The sequence below is a fragment of the Homo sapiens genome, chromosome 6 (genome assembly GCF_000001405.40).
Source record: "Homo sapiens chromosome 6, GRCh38.p14 Primary Assembly".
Taxonomy (NCBI): domain Eukaryota; kingdom Metazoa; phylum Chordata; class Mammalia; order Primates; family Hominidae; genus Homo; species Homo sapiens.
In genome coordinates, this window is record NC_000006.12 from 130,825,352 (window position 1) to 130,846,147 (window position 20,796).

A 20,796-nucleotide genomic window follows, 5' to 3' on the forward strand; every position below is an offset into this window, starting at 1 on the left:
GAGGAGGGCATTCTTCAGCTACCCACCTTCCAGGATCAGCTCAAATATCCCTCTTTCTTTTTTTCTTAGCCAGGTCTCATTCTGTCACCCAGGCTGTGGAGTGCAGTGGCACGATCATGGCTCACTGCAGCCTTGACCTCCCCAGGCTCAAGCAATCCTCCCACCTCAGCCTCCCGAGTAGCTAGGACTACAGGTGTATGCCACGGCACTTGGCTAATGTTTTATCTTTTGTAGAGACAGGATTTCACCATGTTTCCCAGGCTGGTCTCAAACTCCTGAGCTCAAGCAATCCACCCACCTCAGCCTCCCAAAGTGCTGAGATTACAGGCATGAGCCACTGTGCCCAGCCCAATTCCATGGCTGGAATTAATCAGTCTCTCTTCAGTGCTTCCACTATACTTTGTTTATATGTTGATCTGGAAGCTAACATTATTGTCATTTATTTTCCTGTTCCCCTAACTTACCTTTGTTTAGGCATTCAATGAAGGCTTGCTGAATGGAAATGAAACAGGAAGAAAGAATATGACAAACAGTCTGCCTAACAGCTGCCTGACATCTCCCTGGTAATGTCACTTGCTCACAGAGGTTCTTTGAAGATTGACACTTTACAAATTAGCATCCTGTTCAAACTGAAAGAGCACCAGAGAAACATCTCAATGGAAGGCATGCAAGTATAATAGCAGTAACACCATTCACAGGTTTGCAGAGTGGGAGAAGAGAAATACGTGAGTAAATGAATGCTGACTTAAACTCAGGTATTCTGAAGGGTTCCTCCTGAAATTAAGATGTCTCTCTTCTGAAAGAGAAGTTGCTAACTCTTCATTGATCAGGAATGCAGGCATGTACCCTGAGACCCTCTCCAGTCTTATTATTTTGTAAATTAGGGTGCAAACTTTACAGCTGGGGCTAAGACTGCATGACCATGCAAAGTCCCTGATGCAAGAATGTGGGAGGCACTGACAGCGGCTTGCCCTTGATAGACTCCTCCAGCCACCACTAAAGGGCGCCAGGGACAGGGTTAGAGTGTGACAGAAGGAATGAGCCCAAGAAGGTGGCTGCCAGTTTCTCTTCCCCACATTCTTCCAAATTCTCCAGGGCATCTTTTGAATATGACTCTTTTAGTCAGTTTTCATTTTTAGACCAATATTTTTGGAAATTTTTCACTAAAGCAGTCAATGACAACTCAACATAGTCAACAAGTCAATGTCAACTTTGACATTGGTCCATTGATTGCCCTTTCTTTTCCCAGAAACTCTGGAGTTACCACACAACCCATACCACTATCAATGAGAGGCCACCTTCTAACTGCGAATGGTGGACCACAGGAAAGGCCCAGTAGAGCAGAGGAGAGTATATGACCTCATGCAGCCAGCAAGGACGAATGTACCTCAGGAAGAAGGAGATGGGGCTACATCATGGGCCACTCCGCCACGGACACTGTGGCCATTCTCTGTTTGTCTATCTCCACTCTTAAAGGCCAGGGGCCATGACTTACTCTTCTTTGTATACCCAGCATCTAGTTCAGAAGTTGGGTTCTAGTAGAATTAAATGTTTGTTGAATAAATGAATAAACCAATGCACTTCTCAGAGAAGTATTCTGAGTAGGATATATGAGGAAGAATTTCTACTTGTGGGAAAAGCCTTGTTTCTCTTTCCTTGGTATTAATTGTATCAACTATGTATAAAGGAACATTCACTTTTTTCTAGACATAAGTACTTAGGTACAGTGGCATAACTATTAAGAAATTTTTAACTCTAAAATTTAGGAAATACAGGGAAAACTCTTCTGTGTCTGAGAATACATAGAAAGAATATACATAACAACAAGTTTTGCTTGGTTGGGTAATTTTCATTCCAAATAAACTTATCACAAAAAAACTCAGCTTCCCAAGGTCATTCCCCCGCTGCCAGATACATACTTATCTCTGAAAGAGCTTGGAAGATGGACCTTTCAATTCCTCTACAATTAGTAGCTGAGTTACAGAGTAACCTGCCAGCAATCCTATCAGCATTCATCAGACTATTTAAATAGAGCAAAGTCCACAAAAAATTCCACTGAGACATGCTGAGCAAAGGCCGGAGCCCCAGAAGAAAACAAGTACAGACTCAGAGGAAAGCTGCCCTGGTCCTGAGTGTGACTCCCATGGTCCCCGTGGGGTCTGTGTGGTTGGCAATGAGCTCTGTGCTGTCAGCTTTCATGAGGGAGCTCCCTGGCTGGTTCCTGTTCTTTGGGGTCTTCCTCCCCGTGACTTTGCTGCTGCTCCTCCTCATCGCCTACTTCAGGATCAAACTGATTGAGGGTAAGTGTGAGGCCACACAAGGAAGAACTTGGGCATCCTTTCCCACAGCACATCTTGAAATATACCGATGCACTGTCAGTGTTTTCTGGCCAGGAGAAACATATATATATATATTTTGTAGGTACTTCTCAATCAGTGTTCTCTCAAGTTCCTTGATCAATTTGGCCAAGTTTGATCCTTTCCACTGTGTGGATCTTGTGCTGAGATGTGAAGGTCTGCTGTAGGGGGCCCTCACGTGTAGCACCTCACAGACATACTGTGAATCAGCAATTTTGACATATGGTTGCTTGTCTCTCTCTCTCAAGGCAATAGAGTCACATATGTGAAAACATTGTTCATGGTCTGCCTTCTTTACATGACAGATGTGTTTATGTGGCCATGTGTGTGCATGTCCGTGCGTGTGTATGCGCCCGTGTGTGCACACACACAACTTTCTCATCCACTGAACTTCTGGTCAGGGAATGTTCCAAACATTCTGCTGTCACAGTCTTTGTAAATGTAAAGCCCTGATAGATAAATACTTGACCTTGGTGTAAACGTTCCATGGGATTATAGTCTTAAGGTGGAAAAAAACCAAACCAAACAAATAACTCAGGAAGCTTAAGGTGATTTGGAATGGACATTCGGGTCTTGGATTGACACTGTTTATTCTGCTATAATTAAAATTAATGAAACTGGGCTGTAACTAGATAGACTATGTGTTAATACTGTGCCAAGTACACATGAGATTAATATCATCAAGGTTAATAACTATTTTAGCAAAATCAACAAAGACCAGTCATATTTCTTAATTTGGATAGTGTCATATTAAAACAAATTTGAAAAACCCTCCTCTTTGAACATCTGTTTATGTAATAACATACATGAAGGCATTTCTTGGACTTGCCAAGCTTTTGTGGTAATCTTAGATCACTAATGCTATAATATATAACCTAACAGAAGTGCAATGAGGGATATTTCTTCCTAAGATGAGATTTGGAACATAAAGAAATCCTAGGAGACACAGACAGTATGTCATGGAATCAAGTTTTTCATCACAACTTACTCAAATATGCCCCTAGCCTTTCATTTTTCGTGTGTCTCATTTTTATGAACAGCCCTTTTGCTGAGGGGTCAAGCCATATTCTGCCTCACTCTATAATATTCATGTGATAAATCCTTTTCTTTGTTAAGTCAGTTTATCCTCCACTGCCCTAAGACCAGTCTGTTGGATGCTCTTGTCACCCAGCCATTCATTACCACTGAACCCCGGAAGTAGCCTCCAAAAAGGAAGAGAAAATAAGAAATCCCCAAGATCATAACCATGGCTTCCCTTCAGTGTCTTCCAAGTCGAAATGTTTTTCAGAGTTGTTGCAAAGATTCCCATCCGTAACACTCACTGCATCTCAGCCTCCCATTGACATTGAACGTCCCAGGGACAATAAAACGATGCTGATGTCATCATCGGGGACTTGGAGACTTCCTGTAGTTTCCAAGTTTCATCTCTGGCTGGATGAAATTTTCAGTATTTCAAAAACTGCAGCAAGTACAGGTCTAGATAGCCTCATGGATATCAAGATCCCTTATTGGCCTCTACTTCACAGCTATTACAGGCCAGTTAATTCAGTGGGACATCTGGTATTTGGGATAGACTCTGCAAAAAGAGGGTGAATCTGTTTTATAGTTTTACTCATTCCTGGAAAAACATCTGTAATATGTAACATGTAAATGGGTCTATGGTATTTTATTTAGATAATTCTGAGGTATAAATGTATGAATCACATTGCTTTAGAATACCCTGGAAAAGTCAACGTGCAGGGTATGGCCTGGCATCACAGGGGCTGATGCAGGGGAAATGCAGTCCAAGTGCCAGCCCCAGAGGAAGTGCTCCATGTGTGTACACCTCTGTGATGATTGCACGCTGATGCCCTCCTATCTTCAGCACTTCCCTGCCCGTGCAAGTTATCTAGAGATCAAGTCTCAGAAAAAAGTTACTACCTTAAGTTTGTAACTCAATACAATTGAAACTACTTCTGAAGGATTTGAGTGAAGGGAGCAGAGGCTCCCAATAACCTCTTGTTTCTTCACACTTCCTTCCCCTTTCTTCATTCCAAATTCTGACATGCTACTGAGCTTTTCTTGACTTCTAGACTTGCCCACAACTGTTAAGTCTGTCCCTTCCATCTCAGAGCCTTTATTTTTGTAGCATAGGATCTAACCCAAGGGAAAGCAAGCATGTCAGCCTCACACGATGAGGGTCCATGCTCACTGGGTAGAGTCATTACACCAACTTTAAAGCTTACTCCAAACTTATGTCATATTCTGGATAGCGATAATTCTCATTCATTTATTCAACGAATATTTGTTAGTCTATCATATACCACAGACTGTCCCAGATACTGGGACAGATTTTTACTATGAGTTTTTAAGACTAAGAGAAAATAATCCCAGTTCTAGAAAACCACAGAAGGCATCTGGCAAAATCAGCAGAAGTTAGAGGAGGTGTTGCAAATCTGTATGTTTCTGATTCTGGCCTCATTAAATGTCTGATCAAAGAGCTATAATAATAACCTGGACTTTTCCCTCAGTGTCAGGGCTGAGCACTTCACCAGAGGCAGGATCCTCTACAGTGAAGGGGCACCCCCAGCCAGGTTATGAGCCTCCATTTTCTGTGGTTTTTCCCCATTGTCTCCTACTTGGGCTTGCTCTAATTGAAGTGTGCCTGGAGCTTCCAGGCTGCAGGTAGGAATTACAGGAAGAGTGAGTGAGGAGGCAGAAGGAGCTATTTACCATGGCAGAACAAAAATGTGTGCATCCGTTACTTAACGCAATGGGGGTCCCATCTGAAATTTATTGTTGGAAAGAATACTAATGACTAGAAACACTATTACTGCCAACCATCTGGAAGATGCTCAGTGAGGATGTCAAAGGCATTTAAACGAGAGCAACTCCATCTTGAATAGGGGCTAGGTAAAATGAGGCTGAGACCTACTGGGCTGCATTCCCAGACAGTTGAGGCATTCTAAGTCACAGGATGAGATAGGAGGTCAGCACAAGATACAGGTCATAAAGACCTTGCTGATAAAATAGGTTGCAGAAAGAAGCCACCCAAAACCCACCCACCAAAACCAAGATGGTGATGACAGTGACCTCTGGTCGCCCTTACTGCTACACTCCCACCAGCACGACAGTTTACAAATGCCCTGGCAATGTCAGGAAGTTACCCTACATGGCCTAAAAAGGGGTGGCATAAATAACCGCCCCCCCGCGTTTAGCATATAATCAAGAACTAACCATAAAAATGGGCAACCAGCAGCCCTCGGGGCTGCTCTGCCTGTGGAGTAGCCATTCTTTTATTCCTTTACTTTCTTAATAAACTTGCTTTCACTTTACGAACTCGCCCTTAATTCTTTCTTGTGCAAGATCCAAGAACTCTCTCGGGGTCTGGATCTGGACCCCTTTCCTGTAAGAAGGACAGCATAGCTGAGTGGATCAAAGTAGTCCTCCCTGATGGCAGTTTTTGTTCTGTTGAGACTGAGCCCAAAGCAAACCGGGTGAGAAATGTGGGGGCCCTGGATGGTGTCCTTGACAGATTCCTGGTCAGGGTAGCAGCTGATGGGCAAGCTGCACTATACATTCCCTCCAGAAGTTTATATTCAAACCATCTTTCGGTTGTATTTCCCTCCTCTCCCACATGGAATCAGTGCATCTATTTTTTTTTGGAGTAATTCTTGATTATATTTTCCAGTGTTAGCAGCCAACTATAGACTATGGATATTTTCGTTTTTAGGTTGATCTGGTCCCTTTAATTCCAAATAGTCTTTCTCCTAAGAAGAAAAGCCACCCAAACTCTAAGAACATGTACCTTTGAAAAAATTATAGTTCTGGCACCATTTTCCTAAGGGTAAGTAGTACTGTCTTCTCTCCAGTTTGAGGGCAAATGAGATCACTGGACTCGAAATAAAATATCACCAGTTTGTATCTCCATTTCGCAGCATCCACTTAAAAAACTGTCAACAGATGGTCAAATGTCATGTCGTTAATCTTCCAACCAGGGTTATGGCAAATGTAATCATTTCTGTTTTATTCCTGTAAAGAGAGGGACATTGATAGATTAACTGGCATGTTCGCAGAACCCCAGAGTCCTGCATTCTAAAACAGAAAACCAGCTTGCCTGTCTCATACAGCTGGGTCTGTCAGACAAGAGAGCCATTTTAAGATGTGATGGAAAGCATGTGGAGGTATTGTAATCACTCAACATTAATCCCCACACTTCAAGCCTTAGGAGGTAATGGTGCACATAAATTTAATTAGTATGTAGGGAACATCAATTTTCTCGCAAAGGAAGAAAGAAAATTCTCTAACATCCCGCACTCTTCAATCTGTGTCAATTTCCTTGAGGAGTAGCTCTTGGGGTGGAAGTATGTGTCATGAACTTCCCATAGCCAATCCCTGCATCAGCCATTGTCATGGACATTTTGCATCTTCTAGGTTGGAAGTTTTCATTATCTTATTTCCCTAAGTCCTGAGATTCCCAAACCTTTACTTCCAGGCCACCCCACCCCCAAAACACCATCGCCCTGATCAGGAACAAATTGTTGTCTAAAATGACAAACATGGCCAAAAATAGTCATTATTTAATTAAATTTTAAAACGTGTCTACTGAAATGCCTAAATGTTTTTGCACGGAGTTGGACCCAAAAAGAAAGTCAGGTAGTTAACCAGGTCTTGGCCTTCAGCAACGCACATCCTAAAACAAATAACTAAAGTACTGATAATATACAGGCTGGCTAGGCATCTTCCACTGAACTTCATACTCACTCTACTCAACCTCTTGAAGCTTCGGCCTCCTGGTCTGTAAAATAGAAATAACAGCAGGACATACTATAGGACGGGTATGGTGATTAAGCGAGGTAATACATATAAGGTTCTTAACAGTGCCTGTTCTGAACAACTGTTAGTCATTATTATCCTGCTAGCTTGAGAATTCTAAGAAGGCACTGTTTGTGTCATTATAGCATTACAGTAGCTATTATTAAAATAGTCTTGGGATAATTAAGTACATTGCCCAAGGTTACCTACCCACAAAGTGGTAGAAAGAGCATTCGAACCCTGGCTGGCTCCAGAGATAGCCCCTCTTCACCGACGCACCACCTCTGGAGTATCGAGTCCTCAGTAGGGGTTCTATCTGTTGAGTCCTTTTGGTCCAGACAGATAAACTTACCACCAATTGTGGGACAGTTTTAAACAAGGCAAAAATTTTACAACATCTTTGAAGAATTTGATCAATCTCTTAATATAACGGGGGTCATAATAGTTATTGATGATGGTGATTCCTCCACATAAAGATCTGCCTGAGTCAAATCACATTTCTTTACCTGGGAACTAACAGGGCACACTGCATTGCTTGCAGGATTTTCCACAACCACGACCTTGGGTGTTCTCAAGGCCAACTGCCTATCGAATCTCTCTGCACATCCTCCTTAATAGACCCAATGAAATGAAATGACAGCCAAATTGCAAGCTCTTTTAGGTTAGGGAGGCATTATTTTACTTCTCTCACTCTCCATATGGTGCCTAGCAAAGACACTTAATTCACTGGGTAGATGATTCACTGTAGATTGACGAGCTTCCTCTTGGCCTCTCCATTCTAGTTCTCTCTCCACTCTTAAGAGTTCACTTTTTTTCTGTCTCGTTATTCAGGTCACCCATTTTCAGCTCTACAATCTGTATCCTGGTCCCTCATTCAAAGCACCCTATTGTGCAGTTAGCCATTGGTAATAAGAGTAAAAGGGAATAAAGTACTCATATTTCAGTGAGTTAAAAGTCTAAGCCATGGGCCATCTCCAAGGAATACCTTTGAAATAGCGATAATCTACGGAAAGTCAGTGTGACTCAGTAGCTGAAACTGTGGTCTCTGAAGTCAGATTGCCTGGAATCAAATCCTGAATTCATCAGTTTCTCTGATCTTGGGCAAATTACTTCATCATGATTTCTTTCTGCCCCAGTTTGCTCATCAGCAATTTAATAATAATGATGACTAGCTCATCATGTCATCACAAGAATTGAACGAGAAAGATTGCAAAGGGCTTCACACAGCACCTGGCACAGAGCAAGTGCAAGTATTGGCTACTAAATCTTGAGGCCCATGTTGTCAGGGACTTGTCACTCTCCAACACATATGCACCCTCCCTAACATGATAAGCATTTGTGTAGGCCTGGTCAGGGAAAGTGCATGTGTCCTGGGGTACATGGCATACAATGTATCAAGTAAGGGATAAATTGCATGGGCTTTATGTGGGAGCCTAAGAGAGCATTTTCAGGTTCAAGCCTACAAACATGTTTATTACCTCCCATGAGATTAGAAGCTCCTGGTCTCTGGCTTGATTAATTATACTTCTGAAAACAAAACTTTTGAGGATGAAAGCAGGATCAGTTGTTCCTGGTTTCAGGAAGAGAGCTGTGTCTTCTGATGTACGAGGAAGATCCCAACGAATATGTGTCAGGATCTCAGAAGGCATCTCAGGGCTAAAAATCAAATCTAGTTATTGCCAGAGACATAATAGTTGAAGCTAAGGAGCAGATAAAAGCACACAGGTGGCATACAATAAAAGCCAAAGGGAGGAGAATGGTGGGGGCAGACAGAGAGAGGGGTTGTGTCAAATGCTACTGAGGAAGAAAACTAGGGATTGGAAAATGCCACTAGATTCAGTAATTCGATGGCATGGTGAGTTTTAATATTTTAGTAGAGTAGCTTTAACTGAAATTATATATTAAGGGGTTAAGGAATGAGCAGGTTGCAAAAAGCTGAAATAGAGTCATCAGTAAAATATACCAAAAGGTAAAAGGGAGAAAACTAATTTGACTTGTCTAAAGACTGTAAGTGCCCAGACACATTTTTGGGAGGGATGAGCAGGGGCAGACACTGTGACTTGCTGTGGGAGTTTCAACTTAATCAACAAAATCTAAATATACTTAGCATGTAACAATTCTCATTACAGTGGTAGTTTGTTTGCTCTAACCAGGGCCATTCTTTAGAAAGAAGCCTTTACATTTCCACTGGATGTGGTTGAGGAGATAAGGATCGATCCTGTAATAGGATCTGCTTGGAAGACCTGGACTTCTGTGACTCGCCAAGGCCACCAGTGTCAGATATGCTGGCCAACAGCCCTTATGAACTCTAAATGACCAATGGCACTCAGATGTCTCCAAATTATTAACTAATATTTTTCCTTTCAGTTAATGAAGAACTGTCCCAGAACTGTGATCGCCAACATAATCCCAAGGATGGCTCTTCCCTGTACCAGAGAATGAAATGGACGTGAAGTTGGGGACTTTCCAATAACTAAAGCACAATGAGTTTCTACTGGTCAGCAAGCAATGGCCAACAGTTCAGCTAATAAAGTAGGTTGATAAACTAGAACCATAGCAAAATAGAAAGAATACTAAGATACTCATTCTGAACCATACTGAAAAGTGGCAGCTATTATCTAAGGGGACTTCTCAGAGACTCAGTATAACAGCAGCTCTTGAAAAGTACCAAGAATGGATTTCCTGGGTATATACACTGGACACATTGTAACTTTTTAACTTTTATTGTGACTGTGTCTGCTCTAAACGGCATATTTAAAAAATAAAATTCTGCAGCATCTTACTACATAATCCCATAGGAACCCCTATTATTCCGATTTTAGAGGTGAAGAAACCTTGGTAGAGATCCAATGAATAGCAAAAGATGAATGCCTTGGAGAGAGCTCAGTAGATTCCATATGCAAGAATATTTCCACGTTCTTCTTGCAGTTCAGCAACTCTTAAGTGACACAGTTCAGGTATCATTTTTGGACCTGACTTTGCTTCTCTCCTTTTCCTGATTGCTTTCACAAATCATTATTGTCACAAATATGCACAAAACAAGTGGAGTATCCCCACACTAGGTATGGATCACCCACAAATGTAGCTTTCAGCATGATGCGACCTGGAAATGTTGGCAATTTGGTAATGGGAAAAGGAAAGGGCAGAATGTTCACATAATTCCTGAGGAGGAGAATACAAGTCTTTGCCTGTAATACCAAAATACAGGGAGCTATATCTAACTATGCGGATAAGTCAACATTTCACTACAGTTCTTTTTCAGTGGGAGCCCCAAAGAGACAACATAGGTAATTGAAAAGAAACTTAATTCTAGGGGTAGTTAAACGAGATTGTGGTTACTGTTGTGCTCCCCACATTCTTCCAGTTAACATAAATCAAAGATGTTCAATGCATTCTAAGTGTAAGACTGGTTACATTCCAATCTTTGTGCAGGACATTAACAGGCTGAGTGATCCACTTTATAAAACATAATGAATGGGGTCACCTGTAAGAAATGCACCTGTTTCAGTAGTGGCTTACAGTCATACTAAAGGTTGTGTGGATGACCCAAAGCAAAAATATACCATCAGTGCTGGATTTTTACTGCTTCTTCCCCTCAGCCCCACCCTAAAATTCTTGATACCCATTCCGTGAGTAGTTTCCATTTGCACTTCTTGCATAATATAAAACTTATTGCTAGAATAAAGACACTCACTTCTGCATTTTACTGCACTTGATTACAATGAAAATGTCTGCCGGGGTTTTCAGACTGAACTAATTCAGAGTAACAGTGCTCTTGCCATATGGAAGGAATAACAATATTCTTTCAGTTTTGGGAGAGATCTCTTTTTAGCCCCTGGGGGAAATCAGCTTATGTAAAAATGCTTTCTTTAACAGAAAGTGTGAAAGGACAGATCGTATTCCTATCTCAGGCAGCTGCCAGCCACATTTGTGGCTCAGCTATCAAGGTTTGCTCCATCTTCCTCCAATAATGGGCACTTCAGAAGGCCAGTTCCAGCTCTGGTGGGTGCTGGTCCACCATCTCAGCTATTGTGATAACACATGAGCTCTATATAGACATGTTTTCAGCACCAAGCACTACCAAGTACTTTAGAACAAGGCCTGTTTCTTTTCTGCCATCCAATGAGAGCAGAGAATCTCCAATGAAACTGACTAGATTTATGAATGTTTTTTATATGTAGAGAGGGGCAGAAACATGTTCATTTTCCCATGAAGGAACAAGTCCCAAGGGTTTATCATCTGCCTGAAGGCACTGCTAACGAATTTGTCAAATCCTTTATCCAGCACAGCTTTACCAAGCAGCTGCACAGTCAGGCCTTTGCACTTCTCATTCTCATAGGTCCAGTTTAAGATCTCATTCAGTCCTGAACTGCTTCGGTCCTTTGCATTCCTGCTGTCTTGGCCTCCACCTAGACCAAGTCGGCAGTCTCCCTACATTACCCTACATTCAGCTGCATCCTATGCTCCAAGGCCTTTCACCAGGGGCCAGAAATGCTCCCACAACCCTCAATGGTCTCACTACAACAGTTCCGAATCTTATTCCAAATGCTATAGTATCTGAAACGGTTCACCAATAGGGATAATGTTTCTCCAACTGGAGACCTTCAATAAAACACTTCAATAGGTGCTTTAATTTCTGTCACATTGTCATTATTTATTATTCAATAAATTTACCAAAAAACATATATAAATATATATATTATTTTGGAGACAGGTCTTGCTATGTCACTCAGGCTGGGGTGAAGTTGTGCAATCATAGCTCACTGAAACCTCAAACTCTTGGGGCTCAAATGATCCTACTACCTCAGCCTCTGGCTACAGGACAGGAGTGCACAGCCTCACTTGGGTTTTTTTGTTTTGTTTTTTGTTTTTGGTAGATACAGGGTCTCAGTAGGTTGACCATGCTATTCTTGAATTCCTGGCCTCAAGCTATGCTCCTGCCTCTACCTCCCAAAATGCTGGGATTACAGGTGTGACCCACTGTGACCAGCTAAAAATTTAACAGAATGAACTCAAAGCTGTAAATACTATCTTTTCATCTCTCTTGATAATCATGTTGGTAATTTGGCAATTTGGTGTTGGGAAACTGCAGGTCCATGACTGCTGCACATCCTAAACCTAGCTGAAAAACAATTTGGGCAAGAAAAAGCCCATATTATGTTTTCTGAAATGTTATTTGCAAAAGTTTTTTAAAAATAATCTGGCCAGGTAACAGCCTCCAGAATTTTCCAGACATAATTTAGCGATTGGAAAATTCAGAAGAGGTAAACACTCCTAGACAATAAGAACAGCTTTTTGGTGAAATCTCAAGTTCTTTGGCAAGACTGAATATCAGAAATCAGAGTTCACAACTCTGATAACCATCAAAATTCAGAACTCTGATAACTCTCAGAATTCATGACATTAAGCACATTTTGGAAATAAATTTTCTGATTTCTATTTATCAAAAAGTTGTTAGAATTTTCAAAGCATGCTCACAAGATTCTTACTTTCTGACTTTGTAATTGGTGTGCCAGTCAGAAGAGGCCTCTGAATTTATCACAATGTATTCAATGACATACAGTCTAACATGTGAGTGACAAGCAGAAGACAGCAGAAAACATGTATTCAAAAATACCATCCAATGTATAATTACCATCAAACAGATTGGGGATTTAAAAATATTCTTTCCACTTTTCAAATTTTTCAAATCCAATTTCCAAAACCTTGTTTGATCTACTTTCCTATTTATTCTATCATTTAGCCCAATTTACCAGATGAGATTATAACAGCCAGAGAAATACTTTATAATACAAAATATTTTTTTAAAAGACAGCCTTGCTCCTGTAGCTACAGGTGGGAATAAGTATAAACATTGTTTCAAGTGGCTCTGTGGGTATTAATTCCCATAGATTCTCTCAATGCCCCCAGGACCCTAAACCCTGTTCTTGCTGTCTCAGCTAAATAAAACCGAGCCCTAATCCCCGCACACCACCTTTCTTAGTCCATGGGACCTGTGAAGACAAACTTTCTTCCTGTCACTGCAAATATGGTCTTCAAAACACCCAGGGAAGCGCAACCTATGATTTCAATGTGAGTGTTATACAAACTTTCTGATGAGGCATACATTTGCAAAATCACATTTGGTTCCACAATATTTCTAAGGCTTGGCTTGCTGAATCGGATTCTCCAGGGAGTTGTTGTTTTTGTAATAATTATAGAGAAAGTGAGAAAGGCCTTTCACAAGGCGAGAGATAATTTAGTGGAAACAGATCTCAAAGACGACAGTTATGCAAATTGTATTTAATGTACTTACTTTAAATGACTAGAGAAAAAAATTCTATATAACACTTTACAAGAAATGTACCCTGTTGGTTATTTGCTCTATAATAACACCATAACCTGGTGTGCCCCAACAAAAGTTTCACAAGAAAGCATCCCAATCAGACTGGGATGCAGCCCCTCAGTGGCCTAGTTTGCCTGATATACAGAGGGCCAGTGGACACAAAGTAAAGAAGGACATGAAGCAGAGGAGCAAGATTCAGATGGTACAGCTAAAATATTTCCTGAAAACAAAATGAAAAATGCACAAAGAAAACAAGCAAAAATATCCCTCGGAGAATTCGTAAAAGCTGGAATGGATTATGTAACCAGGCAGAAGGAATCTGGCACTCTCAACATTAGATTTACAAACTTTCAACGTCGCTTTCACCGTTTCAAATAGTGATGTTGGCAGCATCATCAAATTACAGAAGAGCTGAAAACAGATTTTGAAATGCTACTTTTCACAAAATACTAAGACTTCTGATGAAAAATATCACTCAAGTTTGTTTTTTTAACCCTTTAGAAAAAGAGAAGTGACAAGTTTAGAGAATAAACAAACTTTATTTTATAATAGTATTACAGGAAGCAAAATATCATTTAATACAACTTGAGGCTGCTATAAATCTAATCTGGCATCGTAACTATACATAGGGTCAAAGGCAAAGGAAAAAATGTTCAATATAGTTAATAAGTCCCTATCGGGTCTCTGGTGCCAGCTTTAAATGGTATAACTTTCTTGTAACCAACAGAACACCACCACAGCCCCCTCCCCCTCTCCCCAGCATCCTCAAACCTGTGTGAATCATAAAACTATCTGAAAGAGATAGGCCTGCTCAATAACAAAAGGTAAGTTTTACATGTGTAGACAAAGAGGTTTAATACAAAGCAAGAGTTCTACCCAAGTGTTCAAATAATGGAAAGAATTGAAATGTGGGTATGTTAAGAAAGAAAGCACTAAGGTTTTAAGCTGCCTGAATCTTTTAGTAGAAGGGAAGAAAGTTTTCTCTTTCTCTTCCCTCCTGTTCTGGAATGCTGCCGAAGGGCATGTGTCTGACAAGCATTGGCACTGTGGTGCGGCAGGGTCTCTAAGCACAGTGCACAGTCAGTGAACTTCTTCATTATTCTCCAGTCCAGAGATTCTGACTCTCTACTAAAAGTAGAAAGTCACAGGACTGGAAAGTCAAAAGGGTCCAATATAAAAAACATCCCTGTGAAATTCTCAAATATTAGAAAATTTTCAAGATGTAAGAAAGGCTTTTAATCTGTATTAATATTTTCTCATACAGTATATTTGCTGCAATTTGAAAACTCCGTAAATATTTACTGTGAGAATTCAATGAAAAGAATCCAGAAGAAGGAAAGCCACTATCTAAATTAGTCACAGAGTTTCCTTTCTGCGCAACAGCACCTGTTCAAGTGAACAGCACCTTACCAGCTTGGGCTGGCTTTGTTCACTGTCATTTGATCAAAGTGAGTCATTAAAAGCAGGTAGTTGCACACAAAGTAAACAGAAAACAAAACCAAAACCCCTTAATTAACAACAACAAAAAGAAAGAACTGAGAATATTTAGAAGTGGTTATAAAACAAAATAATATATTAAATGCATGGGAGCAATATAGACCAGAGCTGGTAAGGAAAGGTTTGGTGTTGGCATTTTAATTCTTCAGGCTTCTGGTCATTGTTACCAGTTGTAGCATAAATTCGCTGGAATAGTGGTGTGGCATTAAGACTTGGAACGGTCAAAAAATCTTCAGGGGTTCACAAAGTTGAGTGTTGTTTAAAAAATGACTTTCTAGAAGAGAAAAAAAAAAAAAAAACAGAAGGCTTAAATATTCCAAAAACACAGGCTTGAAAAAAATGTTAAGTAACATTCATCAAGTTTTCAATCAAGTAATCAACAGTTACTGTCTGCCTAGTCTTACATTAAATAGTATGTTTACCAGAAGACAAGCATGAGACACTATTCCACTCTCGAGGGCCTTAAAATACCTGGAGAATTGACAAGTACGCTAGAAGCAACTGGCAAATAAGAGTTCACTGCAAAAGAATTTATTAGCATAAAACAGAGACAATTCATATGTAAGAATTTAAAGACAGAAACCAAGGTAGGTTTTAAAGCTATACTCAGGGAAAGGGAAAGTCAAAGTCTATTTTCTTTGTGCTAAAACGAATGGAAATGGTGCTTCAGGTGGAAAAACACAATGAGGAAAGAGGCATGGAGGTGAAGAAGTACACAGTATTATGACAGTAAGATGTATGTTGGGGGAGGAGGCAGAAACGAATGGAAGGAATAGGACGGTGAAGAAAGGGACATTACTAAAGTTGAGCATTGGTATAGTGAGTAGTAAATAAAGGTACAAAATATTAGGTCTATTCTTTAATAGACTGAGAAGTACCAGCTTGATCTAATTGACCAAAAAAAAAAAAAAATGAATTAAGAAAAAACATTTGGACGAAAAGACCAGTTGGCAATCTACTACAATGGTCCAGGGCAGAGTGCAAGAGCCACAGAGAGATAGAAGACTGGTCAAAGAACTTGGGGTTGGCCAGTCATGCAGGGCATGATAAGCCCAGGAAAGGAGGTTGGGATCGTTTCTTCTTTGGTTTTGAGGAAGGGTTTGTCATGGTGTGATTTACGTTTTGAAAACACTGCTGTGGCTTCAGTGTGATGAATAAGCTGAAGCCGGCAAGGAGTAGAGGCAGGAACAACAGTCAGGAGACCAGTGCAGGAGTCCAGCTGGATGAGGAAGATGACAAATGTCAGGCATTCCTGCCAGATGGCCAGGACCCAGACTTGAGTGGTCACCACAGAAATCAGGTGGGAGAGAAATTTGAGAGGCACCACTAAGGAGAATAATCAGAGTGTGGTGGTTAAGAAGTAAGTATAAGACAGGATGATAAGGTTTGGAGTCTGGGACCTCAAAAAAAGGAGAGAATGAAGGCTTACAGCCTGGGTGAAGCATTAGACCTAGGGATATAGATTTGGGCATCAGAACAAGGGATAAGTGAAACCAACAGATAGAACTAAGTCTCATGTGAGCATAGGAATAAATGAAAGCCACAGAGTCTTGCAGAAGTCCACAATCAAAGGTAAGTGGAGAAGACTTTTTAAAAAACCCATGATGGTGCAATGGCCCTGAAAGAGAAAAGGGTTTTAAGGTGGCAATTGTTTCATTTTATATTTGAACTTGGTTGGAAGTTTTGGCAAATGATAGGTAATCACAAAGGACAGTGCAGAGTGGTAATTAACGTCTTTTCCAAGAGACACTGCTCCCAAAGTCAATTAGAATGTACACTCTTTTGGTTAGGTAAAATTAAGTCTTGCTTTAATGAAAAAAGTTCCTACCATTTAGATTTATCACAGATAATATTAAAGCCTCTTGATTATTCAGGACAGATTGATTAATCAACTTCATTGTTTTCTACCCTGTTGTCTGCCTTAGGTTATTTCATTACTCATTAGTACTTCTGTTTGATTCTAGGCTGGGGGAAAAAAAAATCAATGGAGAAAATAGAAAGTCTTTTTTTAGGTTAGTAATTATGAAAAGAAATGTGGGGGATGATGAAGGGAAATGGATACAATTACCAATCAAATTGGATTTGGCAGTTATATGACACCTTCAGTCATGGAACCTGTTCTTGTTCCTTCAGAGCTGGTATTTCCATTTGCTTTGTTTAGTAAATATGCATCATTTGTTGAACACAGCTGCCATTTTGCCTAGTTTATGTTATTAAAAAAACAAACCCCTGATGCTATCAGGGCCTGAAAACCTACAGAGAGAACAATGTTTAGGATTCTAGTCTCCATTTTCTCTAGGCCCTATGTCACTTTATTGCTTTGCATCTGTTTTCATCAAAAATAAAAATTTCACTTTGTAATGAGTCATAAATTTGTAAAGAAAAGCTAAAATTAAACTTGTTTCAAAGTTATTACAGGAAACTAAGCATATGTTGGAATTGAAGGGATCTTGATCTCAAAAAACTTCAACATTTACTGAGCTAAATATAGAGAAAAAGACATAGTTACCCAAATAAACTCAAAATGTAATTTATTTCCATTAATAAACTTTTTTTCTGGTAATGAATATTATAAATGATAACCTTCATGTGCTCTTAGGATTCCAAACAGCTTTCAGAATCATTTTATTGCCATTTTAATGTTAAAACTTATTTATTTTCTCATTCTTTAAAAATCAGTAAATCAAGTTTAACTCTGAGTTATTAGATATTGTGTCAAAACATCCCAGTTCCTTATTGGCGTGGATGAACAAGAAGTAACTTATTGTACGAAGACTTTATTTACATATCCACTTATCTTTTTTGACTGTTTCTTGCACTTAAACACATGTAGAAATACGTTCCTAAGTACTAAACAGTTAGCTTTTGAGCTAGAAAAGAGAAAAGATAAAGACAGAATCACCAATGTCACTGCTACATAAGCATCAGAAATACTGTACTTTTCTGTCCTCTGGCAGGTGTCTGTGAGAAATAAACTTAATATCTGACAATTTTTTACAGGCTAGAATTTGGGACTAAATGATTTATTACATATTCCAACCAAACTGAAAACTAGGCAATGGCTCTTCATGTAAAAGCTGTAAAAGTTTCAAGAACATTCTTTTCTTTCTCTAAGCTTGAATTCTACTCATATTCATAGAAGTCTGGGCATCTTTGTCAATACAAATTGGCAGGCATTAATTATAGACATTAATTCAACCTGCTTTCACTTTTACACTATCACAGGTTCATCCTGAGTTTGGGTAAGATCATAGCTGTTAAGCATATGGATTATACTTTATGTATTAGAATTGTGGTGAAGTCAACAAAAATAAAAGCATTCATACCACTGTTCTGTTTCCAAGTGTCACTGTTCCACCCTGGCCTATACAATGTCAGTAAACATTCTAACTACTATAGTCACATTCCTTAGTCTATGTCCCCCTCTTTTGGCCAATGTGAGAATAGATCAATGTGGCTCAATTTCATCTAATCACAGGAGTAATTCTATGTTCAAGTTCTTCAAGGATATATGTTGGTTGCATGCCTTGTCTTAAGCACTCACAGAGGGATCAGAGAGTTATTTACCCTCTCAGTGCACCCAATGAGCAGTGGTGAAAAAAGTCCATACATACAAGTTCTATGATCTTGCCCGAAAAGCACAATCTTTGAGTTTCTAGAGACAAAGGGCTCATGTATTGATCTCAATCTTGAGTGCTCTACTCCAGAAATTGACTCAGTAAACTGATTTCAAAAAGCATTTGACAGAAAATACTAGCAATGCTGCCTTTAAGTGGTACAGCACTCATCTAGAGAGAAGTCTCAATAAAAATGCAAAAATGTGGTTTTCCCCCAGATAATACAACAATGCAAATAATACAAGAAAACAACATTTCTTCAGATTAATGAACATTCAATTACCACAGAGCAATAACATAATCAAATATTCTGAAAACGGGAATGAAATATTTACTTAAGGCTGGGCATGGTGGCTGACGCCTGTAATCCCAGCATTTTGGGAGGCTGAGGCAGGCAGATCACGAGGTCAGGGGTTTCACATGGTGAAACCATGTGGCCAACATGGTGAAATCCCGTCTCTACTAAAAATACAAAAAAAAATTAGCTGGGCATGGTGGTGGGCGCCTGTAGTCCCAGCTACTCAGGAGGCTGAGGCAGGAGAATCACTTGAAGCTGGGAGTCGAAGGTTGCGCAAGCTGGGATCGTGCCACTGTACTCCAGCCTGGCCACAGAGCAAGACTGTCTTAAGACACTGCATTTCCTAAGCAAAAATGAACTCTGTGCACTCAGGTGTAAAATTAAATTTTAAATATGATACTTTATGGATTTGACAGTTATTTCAAATGCTGAACTTTTCATTTTATTCTTCTTTTATCCTCAATTTGCATATTTGATTTTAATTTCTAAACAGAATTTCCATTGTTTAAATTATAAAAATCAGCTGGGCACGGTGGTTCACTCCTGTAATCCCAGCACTTTGGGAGGTCGAGAAGGGCAGATCACCTGAGATCAGGAGTTTGGGACCAGCCTGGCCAACATGGCGAAACCCAATCTCTACTAAAGACATAAAAATTAGCTGGGCATGGTGGCACACGCCTGTAATCCCAGCTACTGGGGGGCTGAGGCAGGAGAATCGCTTGAACCCACGAGGCAGAAGTTGCAGTGAGCTGAGATCATGCCACTGCACTCCAGCCTGGCTGCCAGAACGAGACTGTCTCAAATAAACAAATAAATAAATAAAATAAAAATCCCAGAGCCAAAAATGCAAGCATGCTAAATTTCCATTTGGTTAAACCCAGAAAAAAGTCAATTCTTAAAATGTCTGTATTACCATTAAAATATACACGAAGTGTAGCCTGCAGCCCCTGAGGACTGCTGAGTCTCTTTAAGGGGACCATAGAGTCAAAACTGTTTTCATTATCATACTAAGACATTATGTCCTTTTCAGTGTGTTGGCATTTTCACCAATGGTGTAAACAAATAATGGTGAGTAAATCTACTGGCAGCTCAGCCTACATAAGTCGAAGCAGAGGAATCAAACTATATTTGAGGTAACCTTATTCTTTTTTTTTTAGAGGCAGGGTCTTGCTCTGTCACCCAGGCTGGGGTGCAGTGGTGCAATCATAGCTCACTGCAGCCTTGAACTCCTGGACTCAAGGGATCCTCCTGCCTCAGCCTCCCAAGTAGCTAGGACTACAGGCACATACCATCACACCCAGCTAATTTTTAAAAAGTTTTTTGTGGACACAAGCTCTTGCTATACTGCCCAGTCTGGTCTCGAACTCCAGGCCTCAAGCAATCCTCTCACCTCAACCTCCCAACGTGTTCGGATTACAGGCGTGAGCCACCAGGCCTGGCCTGGCACCTTATTCTTTACCAGTGTGCACTTGCAGTAAAATAGAGAAGACAGTTTCACTTAAGGAAGTCCTTGAGGACACAGAAGAAATATTAATTTTCCTACATCTCAAGCCTGAGTGCATCTTTTTAATATTCTGTGTGATGAAATGGGAAGTATGCACACGCCATTCCCGCTGCATACAGAAGTACAACAATGTCTAGAGGAAAAGCATCTATGGGAATGTCTGAACTGTGAGTTGAAGCAGCTGCTTTTTCATCAACCACCTTTCTTACTTGAGAGAATCACTGACAGACAAGGGATGTTATTCAATTTGGATACTAGGTAAACCTTTTATTGAAAATGAAGTTGAGCCTGTCGCCTCAAGAGAAACAATTGACAGTACTTGTTGCCAATGATAAAATGCAAGCTTTTAGGTGAACATTAGAATTTGGAAAATGGTGTTTTGGCCACCATGAGCTTGATAGCTT

General features: G+C 40.2%; 2 protein-coding genes across 24 annotated transcripts in view, besides 1 other annotated feature; one reads left to right on the forward strand and one right to left on the reverse strand.

The window, feature by feature from the left end:
• Nucleotides 798-1,092: an enhancer, noted in NCBI's record as "tiled region #8038; K562 Activating non-DNase unmatched - State 13:Ctcf". NCBI's record gives its function as "activates a minimal TATA promoter and a strong SV40 promoter by Sharpr-MPRA in K562 cells {active_cell/tissue: K562}" and the evidence as "EXISTENCE:reporter gene assay evidence [ECO:0000049][PMID:27701403]".
• On the forward strand, nt 2,055-11,784 carry SMLR1 (small leucine rich protein 1). The gene is made up of 2 exons (NM_001195597.2): nt 2,055-2,300; nt 9,519-11,784. The coding sequence occupies exons 1-2, from the start codon at nt 2,063-2,065 to the stop codon at nt 9,602-9,604; spliced, it is 324 nt and encodes a 107-aa protein (NP_001182526.1). The 5' UTR covers nt 2,055-2,062; the 3' UTR covers nt 9,605-11,784.
• Nucleotides 11,785-13,995: 2,211 nt separating this feature from the next.
• EPB41L2 (erythrocyte membrane protein band 4.1 like 2) overlaps nt 13,996-20,796 on the reverse strand; it is a 223,899-nt gene continuing 217,098 nt past the window's right edge. For all 23 annotated transcript variants that reach the window (NR_146620.2, NM_001135554.2, NM_001350314.2 and 20 more), the window contains one exon: nt 13,996-15,247. The gene's annotated coding sequence lies outside the window, so the exon portion shown is untranslated. The remainder of the gene's footprint in view (nt 15,248-20,796) is intronic.

Excerpts from the sequence above, each read along its gene's own strand:
- SMLR1 (NM_001195597.2), top strand. The coding sequence starts at position 2,063 with ATGCTGAGCAAAGGCCGGAGCCCCAGAAGAAAACAAGTACAGACTCAG. Across the intron at positions 2,301-9,518 it reads CAGGATCAAACTGATTGAGG|TTAATGAAGAACTGTCCCAG; the intron begins GTAAGTGTGAGG and ends TTTTCCTTTCAG.